Here is a 15267-nt window from a genome sequence, read left to right as displayed (position 1 = left end):
AAGTTTGAATGCAATTAAGTCATTTGCCCAAGGCCACACATCTAGGAAGTGGTCTGACCAGGTTCAAATCAAATTACATCTTTTAGCAAGGCTTAAGCTTTTCACAGACTTCGTATCAGACTTTTAGTACCATGCTCGGTAAATGATACGGTTTGGCTGTGTCCCCACCCAACCCAAATCTCACCTTAAATTGTAGTTCCCATAATCCTCTCTTGTCATGGGAGGATCCTGGTGGGAAGTAATTGAATCAGAGGAGCAGTTACCCCTCATGCTGTTCTCATAATAGTGAGTTCTCACAAGATCTGATGGTTTTATAAGGGCCTTTTCCGCCTTTGCTTGGCACTTCTCCTTGCTAATGCCATGTGAAGAAGGACGTGTTTGCTTCTCCTTTTGCCATGATCGTAATTTTCCTGAGACCTCCCCTGCCTTGCAGAACTGCAAGTCAGTTAAACCTCTTTCCTTTATAAATTGCTCAGTCTCGGGTATTTCTTCATAGTAGCATGAGAATGGACGAATACAGTAAACATCATGGGTGGCAGAACCAATAATGTATTTTGATCACATTGGCCATGGGGAGCCCATGAAGTATCTTGGGGCAGGGGAAATGATGACATTATGGTTTTGACGGAAGAATCTGAAGGTGATGTGCGGGGTGGAACAGTGAGAGGTTTTCGTGCTCTGGTCTCTCTACCTAGAAATGAAATGAAGTAGGAGCTGCCAGGTCTATAATACTGGCTGAGATCTCATGAAGGAAAAAGCCCCAAATTACACACCTTGATGGTGGAGTTTAAGCTAAGGGAAATATATTTCTCTGGAGAAGGACCAGCCCAAGCACAAGTAACCATCTCTTCATCTATCAACCCACCCACCTATTCACTCATTCATTCATTTGTCCATCCATTTACCTATTCACCCACTCATCAATTTTTTTAGTTCTCACTCATCCATTGATCCAAACTCTTCAGCATCATTCACTTTCTTCTCTTCCTTTTTCTTTCTCCCCTTTACCACCCTGCCTAACTTCTCATTCCCTCTTTTCTACCCCATAAACATTACCCACTTAAATGATCTTCCTCCTTCAAGCTTCCATATTTTTCACCACCAGATTGCATATTTTGAAAGTACAGACTTTATTGCATTGTTTTTCTACTCAGAAACCTTTAGTGGCTCCTCATTGCTCATAAGACTGAAGTCAGGTGCCATGACAATCCCCCAACCCACTTCTTTCAAGCCCAGTGCCCCATGATCAGATCCCAGTGCACAAACCTCAAACTCATTGTTTTCTGAGCCTGGCCCATGCTTCCCTGTTTGTGTGCTTTTTCTCAAGCTGTTTGTATTCCTCAGGATGCCCTTCTTGGCCCTCTCTACCTCTAGAACCCTACCTTCTCTGGTTGAAATTTTATTTTGTGAGACTTTCTTTAAGCCCCATAACAAGGAGCTATTTCTTCCACTTTTGGAGTGCAAACTGTTTGGGGAGTCAGCTTATTCTAGTGTTAGTTTGAAGTCCAAGAGTCCTGGGTTAAAATCTTGGTTCTGCTACTTACTATCTGCATGACTAAGGGCAAGTTTTATACTTCTCTGAGCTCAGTTTCTGTGCCCATGAAGTGAAGGTATAGAAGTTATTGATGTCTACCTTATAAACTTACTGTGAGCATTAAATGAAAAACATGAAAATGCATAGCTAGTGCTCAACAAATACTTGTGAGTGGATAAATATAATCAGGTAAAATTTTTGCCAACATTCATCATTATATTTTTAAATAATATCATAATATTATGTTTATGAGAAAAATATTTTTTTCCAGCCCAAATCTAAGCTGTAAGTACAGGTCTTGACCAACCCTCAAATGTCAGACCTTCCCATAATCCCTGGCTCAAATGCATGCATGTGCCGTAAACTCAGCACCAGAATGCCTTTAGAAGCACTTCCAGCTGAAACCTATGACAACCTCAAGCCCTGGGGAACGTTCCTCTCACCTGTATGTTCTCTATTTGTGACACTTGAATATGTAGTCTGATACCATGGAGCAGAAGTCTGGCCTAGATTCACTATTACATTGTGTCTAGAGGTGACAACATGCTGCTGTAACAGGCAGAAAGCTTAGAGTCTTCAGGATCTGGCTTGGGATTTGGCTTGGAGTAGACACTTGGCTGGAGTTGGCTATAAGGAAGGATGAATCAATGGTTGAATAAATGGGGGATGGATGGATGATTGGATGGATAGTTGGATGCATAGAGGGTGATAGAGGTGGATGGATGGATAGACCGATGGATGGATGGGGGTGGTTGGATGGAAGATGGATAGATGGAGGGTAGATAGATGGAGGGTGAATGGATAAATGGATGGATAGATGGATAGATGAATGGATGGATGGTGATGAATGGATATGAATGGGATACTCATTCTCTTTGATTCAGTTAAAAGGCTGAGAAGTGGTGTAATGGGATGTGCAGTAGACTAAGAAGAGGGGACACAGGTTCCAGGCCAAACTTTTGTGGTTACTTTACTGTGTGCCCTAAGGCAAGTTATTTAAGTTGTCTGACGATCCCTTTTCTTAGTGTAAAACAACGGACTTAGATAAGATGATTTATATGACATCCTATAAGATTTTAGTCTTGTAATTCTATGACCCCATGGAGTAGAAAGTAGAGCAATATATTTATTTTTAACTTATCTTTAAAAATAGATAGAGGTATATGTAAATTTAGTTTTTTTTTTTCTAGAGACCAAAGCAGAGAAACACACACACTTCCTGACTCAGTTCTGTGCCCTTCCCGCCATTCAGCCCCATCTGACCTATGTCATTTCTCCATACCCACATCAGTTCCTGGGGGCAACAATGATTCTTTATTTGTCTCTACAATTGGTAAGACAACTTGAAGTCTTAGTGGAAAACTCAGACGTTAAAATTAGACAGCTCTAGTATAAAATTTTGGATTCTCCCACCTACTTGTGATATTCAGCAAGTTACTTTTCAGGCCCCTTTACCTGTCACATGGTGTCACTGAATACCTCACAATGAGGATTAAAGAGAATATCTATGTCAGGAAGGAAATGATAGGTCTTATAACCTAGATAAATGAACATCTCCTCCCTCCCTTACCTTGGGCTCTGTGCAGAGATGCTATCAGTTCAGGAAACACCTGTTGAATCAATTAGGTTTGAATGCCATCCAGCCTCTGGGTTTTACTTGCTTTGCAGTTAATGCTTTCAATCTATCACCAACAAAGTAGGAAATGCAAATGTGAAGCTTTGGAAACGGCTTTTGCATGTTATAAATCTCGCATTTCAAGAGGCTGGCTGTGACTAGTGAGCTCAGCTTTCTTACTGTGTGGTCCAAAATTAATGCAGCCTTCAGTATTGTGAGACCACTGGACACTGATGCCCTAGGTTCTGATAGGCTGTGGACATGGGGCTGGTGGACACAGGGCGTGGGGGACATATGAAAATACTTCGGCAGCGTAGGAAGAGACCTCAGTCCCAGAATAAGTGGTGGCTAAGTTGCATGTCCCACTTGAAGCATTAGAAAATATGGGTGGTGGGTGGAGAAGGCCCCTCCACTACCAGCAGTATTCTTACACACAACTAGCTGCTTATTTACCTCAATTTCTACGGTCTGGAGCACTATTAACAGGGGACCTTTAGTTTCAGATGACCTGCTCCTGAATTGATTGTTGGAGTCTTGGGCACTGCTATGTTTTACTGCAACATTAAATATGCATGCTGCCTTGTTCTTCCTTTTCTTTCCCCTCAGCAAACACTTTGTTGCAGCGATCTGAGTGAATGTGACTGGTCTCTGGTGGTCTTGATGTTCCTGCATCTAGCCCTGCATTTTACACATGAGTACACTGCACCGCAGAGAGGGTAACTGAATGGCCCAGGGCTACAGAGGGAGTTGGTGGCAGACCTAGGATTGAAACCCAGGATTCCTGACTACAAGTCACAATCCCCTCAACATTCCACTGCTTATGACTGTATTCCCAAAGGGTCAGTAGAAACTGAAGCATGCTGAAAGCACCTCTTAACTCCCCCAAGATATCTTCCAAAAGTCCCTTAACAGTGTCCAAAATTTCTAGATTATATCTTTCCTTTGGTTGAAAGCAGCATTTCCTGAAGTATCCTTATTTGATGCTCTATAAAGCAAAAGGCACCTACAGCAAAAGGGATTGAGAAACCTTAACTGTACCCCAAACCTCAGTACCACACAACATACCCAGGTAACAAACTTACACATGCACCCCTAAATCTAAAATAAAAGTTAAAATTATCTTTAAAAATAAAGGTAAAATAAAATGAGTCAGCATTGAAATGTAATTATAAATTTCACAAAAATAAAAAAAAGTTCCTGTTTGTAGACAGGAACTCAGCACTGAGTACCAGGTACTCGGTACCTGGTAGCTAGTCAAGGCCTTCCTCAGTAAAGAAATCTCCCCATTTACCTTTGTTATTCCATGTTTCTCAAATTGATTGTCTATAATAACCTCATTCTTCCTTCTCCTTTATCCATTAATCTCTGTAGACACCTCTCAGAAGGAGGCTCCTGGAATGCACCTTGATAAACGGTGGTTTAGGACATGGACAGTCCTTGTTGGTATGTCTGGATTGCTTTAGAGAGATCATAATGACTGACAAGCTTCTAAGTTTTCAGAGCTGTCTCACATCCATGATCCCTTTTGATTTACAACAGCCCCTTCAGGAAGATAATGTATTTCCCTCAACAAAAAATGAGACTTAGAGGCTAATAGGATTGAAGACAGGATATGAGATTGGGATAGGGTTTCTGACAGCATGACCCACACCCACTTTTCCAGACCTCATCTCCACATGAAGCCAGCTTCTTAGTCTACCTTTACAGACCAGGTGCTGTCTCCTGGCCTTGATTCAATGATAGATTGTCATTTTTCATCCTGTCTACTGTGGTTTGAATGTATGGGTCCCTCCTAGATTCATGATATGGTTTGGCTCTGTGTCCCCACCCAAATCTCATGTTGAATTGTAATCCCCAGTGTTGGAGGTGGGGCCTGCTGGGAGGTGATTGGATCATGGGGGTGGTTTCTAATGGTTTAGCACCATCCTGCTAGTGCTTTCTCGTGATAGAGTTCTCACAATATCTGGTTGTTTAAAAAGTGTGTATCACCGTCCCCTTCACTGTCTCTCTCCTGCTGGCCATGTGAAATGTGCCTGCTTCTCCTTTACCTTCTGTCATGATTGTAAGTTTCCTGAGGCCTCCCCAGAAGAAGACGCCTGTACAGCCTGCAGAAGCATGAGCTGATTAAACCTCTTTTTTTTTTCAAATAAATTACCCAGTCTCAGTTTTGTCTTTATAGCAGTGTGAGAATGGACTAATACAATTTGTATGTTGGAACTGAAACCCCAAGGTGATGTTATTAAGAGGTGGGGCCTTTGAAATGTGATTAGATGACAAAGGTTCTTTCCTCATATATGGGATTGGTGGCTTATAAAAGAAACTTCAAATAGCTGCCTGGCCCTTTCATCTCTCCCAGCATGTGCGGATACAAGGCTTTTTTTTCTCCATGTTAGGATGCAGCAAGAAGGCACCATCTTGGAAGCAGACAGCAAGCCTTCACCAGATGCCAAATCTGCTGATGCTTTGATCTTAGACTTCCCAACGTTCAGAACTGTGAGAAATACATGTCTATTATTTATAAATTACCCATCTAAAATATTTTATTATAACAGTACAAATGGACTAAGAAAATACTTTATTTGATAACTAAGGAAAATGAGGCTCAAACAGGGAAAATGGGGTGTCCAGGGTCACACAGCTAATTAGTTAGTCATGGAGCTATAATCAAAACTCCAAGGTTCTGAGAAGACCATTGAGGATACAGGTCCTGTGTGCCTTGGGGGTGGGAAAGTAAGCCTGAAAAGAAGAGCAGAGCATGAAGAAAGGAGGAATTGACAGGCCCCAAAGATTAAATTGGCAATGTTGCTCATTACAAGCTCTGTGAAGAAAAATTGCATTCACTGATGCCACCAAGCTGGCTGTCCTTCTGCAATACCTGGCTGCCAAGTGTAAATGATCAAAGAACACTTGGAAACTTCACAGAGTGACCTATGCTTACTTGGAGGTTTCTCATTTGTCTAGTGACTTCATCTATTCAAAAAACAAGTGAGAGCCTTAAATCAGGATAAAAGGTCTCTGAACAACTAAAAGAGATCAATAAACTTATTGATCAATTGCTAAATAAATGAATCAGTGAAAGAAACATTTAGTATACTCTGGCCCTGGAAATCTGTTGGCAGGTAGAGACAAGACAGGGTCCCCATCTCCAAGGAGCTTAGAGATGAAGATGGGATTCAGACAGTTAAGCAAATGACTATAAGACCCTATGACAGAGATTATGAAAGATAACCCAGAGAGCAGGATCTCCAAGGAGGGGCATCCAAACCAGACAGATCAGATGAGGCATTAGCTAGGGAGTCCCAGAGAGTACGATTCCTGAGTGACCTTTTGAGGGTTGAACAGGAGTTAGCCAGGTGAAGAAGAGAGTAAGTAAAGGAAATGGAGCCTCTGTAGAAAAGCACAGAGACCATAAATAGCACAGTGTTAACTAGGCAGGGGTATAAGATGCATGGTGGGGAAAAAGCAAGTGTTGAGACTAAAAAAGTCGTTGTGCAACCAGAACAGAAAGCCCTTGTGTGCCAAACTAGGCCACTTCCAAAACCATAGCAGCTTTGATGCCAAGAATCAGAAATGGAAGAAGGGGACAGAGAAACATTCAGTTTTTAAGAAATAACTGATAATGATCTGTCAGCTTTTTGTATGTAAATACAGATATGCCCAAGAGAGTATAAGCTCGTGGGAATGTACAAAAGAAATCTCAGAATTTTGAATTGAGGGTCACACAATTGAGTTAACACTATTAAAGGGTTAGCTAACACTAACACAGATATCAGAACTGATATCTGGATTATGTTAATTCACTTTAATTGTGCTGTTATCCAGGGTGCGACCTACTACTTCAGTCTCCTATTAGGCTACAGACCAGCCAGGACAGTTTACCCAGGAGTCTACGTCTGAGCCTCATCCAGACAGCATCCTGGCGAGGCTGGCTCTCCCATATGTAGAAGGGGGATTCTCAGAGGAGCACAGAATCCTGTTTGTGTTACCCTGTCAAATAGGCCCTGCTAGGGAGAAAACAAGAAGTGAGATGCTCCTTCAGCTCCTTCAGGGGTGGCAGTTGATAGATCGAGATGTTTCATCTCACGCAGACTGCAGGCGGATCCTCAGAGATCCCTGGCTGTATGAGCAAGACAACCTACTTTTAAGACTGATGTTTTGAAAAAGATTGGCCCCGGGGGGAGGAGCCAAGATGGCCGAATAGGAACAGCTCCAGTCTACAGCTCCCAGCGTGAGCGACGCAGAAGACGGGTGATTTCTGCATTTCCATCTGAGGTACCGGGTTCATCTCACTAGGGAGTGCCAGACAGTGGGCGCAGGTCAGTGGGTGCGTGCACCGTGCGCGAGCTGAAGCAGGGTGAGGCATTGCCTCACTTGGGAAGCGCAAGGGGTCAGGGAGTTCCCTTTCTGAGTCAAAGAAATCGCTGACGGACCGCACCTGGAAAATCGGGTCACTCCCACCCGAATACTGCGCTTTTCCGACGGGCTTAAAAAACGGCGCACCACGAGATTATCTCCTGCACCTGGCTTGGAGGGTCCTACGCCCACGGAGTCTCGCTGATTGCTAGCCCAGCAGTCTGAGATCAAACTGCAAGGCGGCATTGAGGCTGGGGGAGGGGCGCCCGCCATTGCCCAGGCTTGATTAGGTAAAGAAAGCAGCCAGGAAGCTCGAACTGGGTGGAGCCCACCACAGCTCAAGGAGGCCTGCCTGCCTCTGTAGGCACCACCTCTGGGGGCAGGGCACAAACAAACAAAAAGACAGCAGTAACCTCTGCAGACTTAAATGTCCCTGTCTGACAGCTTTGAAGAGAGCAGTGGTTCTCCCAGCAAGCAGCTGGAGATCTGAGAACGGGCAGACTGCCTCCTCAAGTGGGTCCCTGACCCCTGACCCCCGAGCAGCCTAACTGGGAGGCACCCCCCAGCAGGGGCACACTGACACCTCACACGGCAGGGTACTCCAACAGACCTGCAGCTGAGGGTCCTCTCTGTTAGAAGGAAAACTAACAAACAGAAAGGACATCCACACCAAAAACCCATCTATACATCACCATCATCAAAGACCAAAAGTAGATAAAACCACAAAGATGGGGAAAAAACAGAACAGAAAAACTGGAAACTCTAAAAAGCAGAGCGCCTCTCCTCCTCCAAAGGAACGCAGTTCCTCACCAGCAATGGAACAAAGCTGGATGGAGAATGACTTTGACGAGCTGAGAGAAGAAGGCTTCAGACGATCAAATTACTCTGAGCTATGGGAGGACATTCAAACCAAAGGCAATGAAGTTGAAAACTTTGAAAAAAATTTAGAAGAATGTATAACTAGAATAACCAATAGAGAGAAGTGCTTAAAGGAGCTGATGGAGCTGAAAACCAAGGCTCGAGAACTACGTGAAGAATGCAGAAGCCTCAGGAGCCGATGCGATCAACTGGAAGAAAGGGTATCAGCAATGGAAGATGAAATGAATGAAATGAAGCGAGAAGGGAAGTCTAGAGAAAAAAGAATAAAAAGAAATGAGCAAAGCCTCCAAGAAATATGGGACTATGTGAAAAGACCAAATCTACGTCTGATTGGTGTACCTGAAAGTGATGGGGAGAATGGAACCAAGTTGGAAAACACTCTGCAGGATATTATCCAGGAGAACTTCCCCAATCTAGCAAGGCAGGCCAACGTTCAGATTCAGGAAATACAGAGAACGCCACAAAGATACTCCTCGAGAAGAGCAACTCCAAGACACATAATTGTCAGATTCACCAAAGTGGAAATGAAGGAAAAAATGTTAAGGGCAGCCAGAGAGAAAGGTCGGGTTACCCTCAAAGGGAAGCCCATCAGACTAACGGCGGATCTCTCGGCAGAAACCCTATAAGCCAGAAGAGAGTGGGGGCCAATATTCAACATTCTTAAAGAAAAGAATTTTCAACCCAGAATTTCATATCCAGCCAAACTAAGCTTCATAAGTGAAGGAGAAATAAAATACTTTACAGACAAGCAAATGCTGAGAGATTTTGTCACCACCAGGCCTGCCTTACAAGAGCTCCTGAAGGAAGGACTAAATATGGAAAGGAACAACCGGTACCAGCCGCTGCAAAATCATGCCAAAATGTAAAGACCATCAAGACTAGGAAGAAACTGCATCAACTAACGAGCAAAATCACCAGCTAACATCATAATGACAGGATCAAATTCACATATAACAATATTAATTTTAATTGTAAATGGACTAAATTCTCCAATTAAAAGGCACAGACTGGCAAGTTGGATAAAGAGTCAAGACCCATCAGTGTGCTGTATTCAGGAAACCCATCTCACGTGCAGAGACACACATAGGCTCAAAATAAAAGGATGGAGGAAGATCTACCAAGCAAATGGAAAACAAAAAAAGGCAGGGGTTGCAATCCTAGTCTCTGATAAAACAGACTTTAAACCAACAAAGATCAAAAGAGACAAAGAAGGCCATTACATAATGGTAAAGGGATCAATTCAACAAAAAGAGCTAACTATCCTAAATATATATGCACCCAATACAGGAGCACCCAGATTCATAAAGCAAGTCCTGAGTGACCTACAAAGAGACTTAGACTCCCACACATTAATAATGGGAGACTTTAACACCCCACTGTCAACATTAGACAGATCAACGAGACAGAAAGTCAACAAGGATACCCAGGAATTGAACTCAGCTCTGCACCAAGGGGACCTAATAGACATCTACAGAACTCTCCACCCCAAATCAACAGAATATACATTTTTTTCAGCACCACACCACACCTATTCCAAAATTGACCACATAGTTGGAAGTAAAGCTCTCCTCAGCAAATGTAAAAGAACAGAAATTATAACAAACTATCTCTCAGACCACAGTGCGATCAAACAGAACTCAGGATTAAGAATCTCACTCAAAGCCGCTCAACTACATGGAAACTGAACAACCTGCTCCTGAATGACTACTGGGTACATAACGAAATGAAGGCAGAAATAAAGATGTTCTTTGAAACCAACGAGAACAAAGACACAACATACCAGAATCTCTGGGACTCATTCAAAGCAGTGTGTAGAGGGAAATTTATAGCACTAAATGCCCACAAGAGAAAGCAGGAAAGATCCAAAATTGACACCGTAACATCACAATTAAAAGAACTAGAAAAGCAAGAGCAAACACATTCAAAAGCTAGCAGAAGGCAAGAAATAACTAAAATCAGAGCAGAACTGAAGGAAATAGAGACACAAAAAACCCTTCAAAAAATTAATGAATCCAGGAGCTGGTTTTTTGAAAGGATCAACAAAATTGATAGACCGCTAGCAAGACTAATAAAGAAAAAAAGAGAGAAGAATCAAATAGACACAATAAAAAATGATAAAGGGGATATCACCACCGATCCCACAGAAATACAAACTGCCATCAGGGAATACTACAAACACCTCTACGCAAATAAACTAGAAAATCTAGAAGAAATGGATAAATTCCTGGACACATACAGTCTCCCAAGACTAAACCAGGAAGAAGTTGAATCCCTGAATAGACCAATAACAGGATCTGAAATTGTGGCAATAATCAATAGCTTACCAACCAAAAAGAGTCCAGGACCAGATGGATTCACAGCCGAATTCTACCAGAGGTACAAGGAGGAACTGGTACCATTCCTTCTGAAACTATTCCAATCAATAGAAAAAGAGGGAATCCTCCCTAACTCATTTTATGAGGCCAGCATCATTCTGATACCAAAGCCGGGCAGAGACACAACCAAAAAAGAGAATTTTAGACCAATATCCTTGATGAACATTGATGCAAAAATCCTCAATAAAATACTAGCAAAACAAATCCAGCAGCACATCAAAAAGCTTATCCACCATGATCAAGTGGGCTTCATCCCTGGGATGCAAGGCTGGTTCAATATACGCAAATCAATAAATGTAATCCAGCATATAAACAGAGCCAAAGACAAAAACCACATGATTATCTCAATAGATGCAGAAAAAGCCTTTGACAAAATTCAACAACCCTTCATGCTAAAAACTCTCAATAAATTAGGTATTGATGGGACGTATTTAAAAATAATAAGAGCTATCTATGACAAACCCACAGCCAATATCATACTGAATGGGCAAAAACTGGAAGCATTCCCTTTGAAAACTGGCACAAGACAGGGATGCCCTCTCTCACCACTCCTATTCAACATAGTGTTGGACGTTCTGGCCAGGGCAATTAGGCAGAAGGAAATAAAGGGTATTCAATTAGGAAAAGAGGAAGTCAAATTGTCCCTGTTTGCAGACGACATGATTGTATATCTAGAAAACCCCATTGTCTCAGCCCAAAATCTCCTTAAGCTGATAAGCAACTTCAGCAAAGTCTCAGGATACAAAATCAATGTACAAAAATCACAGGCATTCTTATACACCAACAACAGACAAACAGAGAGCCAAATCATGAGTGAATTCCCATTCACAATTGCGTCAAAGAGAATAAAATACCTAGGAATCCAACTTACAAGGGATATGAAGGACCTCTTCAAGGAGAACTGCAAACCACTGCTCCAGGAAATAAAAGAGGATACAAACAAATGGAAGAACATTCCATGCTCATGGGTAGGAAGAATCAATATCGTGAAAATGGCCATACTGCCCAAGGTAATTTACAGATTCAATGCCATCCCCATCAAGCTACCAATGACTTTCTTCACACAATTGGAAAAAACTACTTTAAAGTTCATATGGAACCAAAAAAGAGCCCGCATAGCCAAGTCAATCCTAAGCCAAAAGAACAAGCTGGAGGCATCACACTACCTGACTTCAAACTATACTACAAGGCTACAGTAACCAAAACAGCATGGTACTGGTACCAAAACAGAGATATAGATCAATGGAACAGAACAGAGCCCTCAGAAATAACACCGCATATCTACAACTATGTGATCTTTGACAAACCTGAGAAAAACAAGCAATGGGGAAAGGATTCCCTATTTAATAAATGGTGCTGGGAAAACTGGCTAGCCATATGTAGAAAGCTGAAACTGGATCCGTTCCTTACACCTTATACAAAAATCAGTTCAAGATGGATGAAAGAGTTAAATGTTAGACCTAAAACCATAAAAACCCTAGAAGAAAACCTAGGCATTACCATTCAGGACATAGGCATGGGCAAGGACTTCATGTCTAAAACACCAAAAGCAATGGCAACAAAAGCCAAAATTGACAAATGGGATCTAATTAAACTAAAGAGCTTCTGCACAGCAAAAGAAACTACCATCAGAGTGAACAGGCAACCTACAAAATGGGAGAAAATTTTCGCAACCTACTCATCTGACAAAGGGCTAATATCCAGAATCTACAATGAACTCAAACAAATTTGCAGGAAAAAAACAAACAACCCCATCAAAAAGTGGGCGAGGAACATGAACAGACACTTCTCAAAAGAAGACATTTATGCAGCCAAGAAACACATGAAAAAATGCTCATCATCACTGGCCATCAGAGAAATGCAAATCAAAATCACAATGAGATACCATCTCACACCAGTTAGAATGGCAATCATTAAAAAGTCAGGAAACAACAGGTGCTGGAGAGGATGTGGAAAAATAGGAACACGTTTACACTGTTGGTGGGACTGTAAACTAGTTCAACCATTGTGGAAGTCAGTGTGGCGATTCCTCAGGGATCTAGAACTAGAAATACCATTTGACCCAGCCATCCCATTACTGGGTATATACCCAAATGACTATAAATAATGCTGCTATAAAGACACATGCACACGTATGTTTATTGCGGCATTATTCACAATAGCAAAGACTTGGAACCAACCCAAATGTCCAACAGTGATAGACTGGATTAAGAAAATGTGGCACATATACACCATGGAATACTATGCAGCCATAAAAAATGATGGGTTCATGTCCTTTGTAGGGACATGGATGCAATTGGAAATCATCATTCTCAGTAAACTATCGCAAGAACAAAAAACCAAACACCGCATATTCTCACTCCTAGGTGGGAATTGAACAATGAGATCACATGGACACAGGAAGGGGAATATCACACTCTGGGGACTGTTGTGGGGTGGGGGGTAGGGGGGGAGGGATAGCATCAGGAGATATACCTAATGCTAGATGACGAGTTAGTGGGTGCAGCGCACCAGCATGGCACATGTATACATATGTAACTAACCTGCACAATGTGCACATGTACCCTAAAACTTAAAGTATAATAAAAAAAAAAAAAGAAAAAAAGAAAAAGATTGGCCCCTTCTGAATGAGGAGTCATGGAACTGCTATGTGTTTCTTTCTCAGTGCTCTGGAAGGCTCATGGGTTCAAGCTGAGCCTCAAAGGGTTTCCCCCTACCCCGGGCTGCGGAGAGCCCTGGGGGAATTGGCTTCCTCAGGAGGCCGAGAAGTATTGAGGGGCTGGTGTGTTCCCTTCTTCGTTTCCTGTTACCCCAACAGGAATCTTGGCTCTGGTTAAGCAAATGGGTACAGCAGGGCAGCCATGCCAAGTGGGTTCTTTAAGGCCTTTTCTTTTTGGATAGCACATTCTGTGGGAAAAGGTCAGACTGATTTTATTCTAGGACCAAATAAGTTTGATGCTTGAAAGCTCTTTTTCATAGAGACAGAATGTTAGAGGGTGGAAGGGGTCTTATATAATGGAGTCCAGTGTTTAGTGAGCTCCCCTGCCTGCTCCCTTCCCCTGGCTCCTCCGTGGTAACAGCCTGTCCCCTTCTCCTTCCTCCTGGGGCCTGTCATAGAGATTTTAGGTTGTTTACTGACCCCCTCCACCCCAAAGCATGAGTGGAGTGATACTGTCATAAACCAGTCACGCCTCTCTGTATTTCTTTACCTTTCTGGTATTCCTATCCATAAAATGAGCTGATTGTACCTCATAGTGATCAGCAGAAGAGAATGCATTTAAATGTCCCATAAAAAGTGTTAAGGTGAGACTGGGCATGGTGGCTTATGCCTGTAATCCCAACACATTGGAAGGCTGAGACAGGTGGATTGTTTGAGCCTAGGAGTTCAAGACCAGCCTGGGCAATACAGTGGCACCTTGTCTCCGCAAAACATTTTTTTAAAAAGTATCCAAGCATGGTGGCATGCTCCTGTAGTCCCAGCTACTTGGGAGGCTGAGGTGAGAAGATCACTTGAGACTGGGAGGTTGAGGCTGCAATGAGCTGTGATTGCAAACACTGCACTCCAGCCTGGGTGACACAGGGAGATCCTGTCTCGAAAAAAAAAAAAAAAAGTATCAAGTGATATGTAAGTATTATGACTATTATTAGTAGTAGTATTAGCACTATGATTGTACTCTACTCAGAGATTTCTTAAATGAATGAAAGGAACTTATATTAACTAAACATTGGACTAAACTAAGATAAAATTTGCTGAATTTTAAATGCAACTGAACCAAAATTTATGTTTTTTACATTGTACAAACAAATAAACAAATTAGTGAAACATCCCACACAGTGAACTCCTGCCTAATCTTACTGAACCTCTGTGCTGTGTTTCAAGACCATTGAATTTTCTTTTAAATGCTTCTTCAGTGAGTTAATATTCCATGCAATGCAAGCCCCTAGTAAAATGCTTCATTTTATATTAATTTATAATTTCTATCTGTTGTTATCACATACATATCCCAGAAAAGTTAGAAAATCAGACCTTGAATCCCCCTTGATCAAATATAATAATAACGACAGCAACAATAATCATAATAGACAATGACAAGCAGAGTCTAGAACCAGATCTGTTAACGCCATGTTGTTTGCTTCATACTATAGCAGTTACCATGCTCTTTCTAACTACTTAGCATGTACTGGGTACATTGCTAATTGTTTTATGTGTGTGATCTCACTTAACCTTCAGAATGCTCTCCTATGAGGAATGTGACGTTATAATTCTTGTTTTATATATAAGGAAAATAAGGCTCAGAAATGCAAAGACACTGGCCTAAGCACACACAGATAACAGGTGACAGCTCTCACTGACTCCGCAATCTACATTCTTAAACTGCTATGCTAGACTCTTTCCTTGTATAAAATATGAGGAGACTCTAAGAGAAATCATGTATCCTAGTATTTAATCATTTCTCTGATGGCCTTCATATCTAGCTTATTACCTATAATTCATCACAAATATGCAAATA

The 15267-nt window shown here is 42.0% G+C and overlaps 1 protein-coding gene across 4 annotated transcripts in view, besides 1 other annotated feature; it reads left to right on the top strand.

Moving 5' to 3' along the window:
* Positions 1-15267, top strand: part of DAB1 (DAB adaptor protein 1) — a 1551949-nt gene that overhangs the window by 406918 nt on the left and 1129764 nt on the right. The window lies entirely within an intron of this gene.
* Positions 7575-8179: an enhancer, noted in NCBI's record as "H3K27ac-H3K4me1 hESC enhancer chr1:58597302-58597906 (GRCh37/hg19 assembly coordinates)". NCBI's record gives its function as "activates a minimal SCP1, AML or CMV promoter by ChIP-STARR-seq in naive H9 embryonic stem cells {active_cell/tissue: H9 hESC(naive)}" and the evidence as "EXISTENCE:reporter gene assay evidence [ECO:0000049][PMID:30033119]".

The sequence above is a fragment of the Homo sapiens genome, chromosome 1 (genome assembly GCF_000001405.40).
Source record: "Homo sapiens chromosome 1, GRCh38.p14 Primary Assembly".
In the NCBI taxonomy this organism is placed as follows: domain Eukaryota; kingdom Metazoa; phylum Chordata; class Mammalia; order Primates; family Hominidae; genus Homo; species Homo sapiens.
Note: the sequence above shows the minus strand (reverse complement) of the source record. Positions and strands in the feature narration are given on the sequence as shown.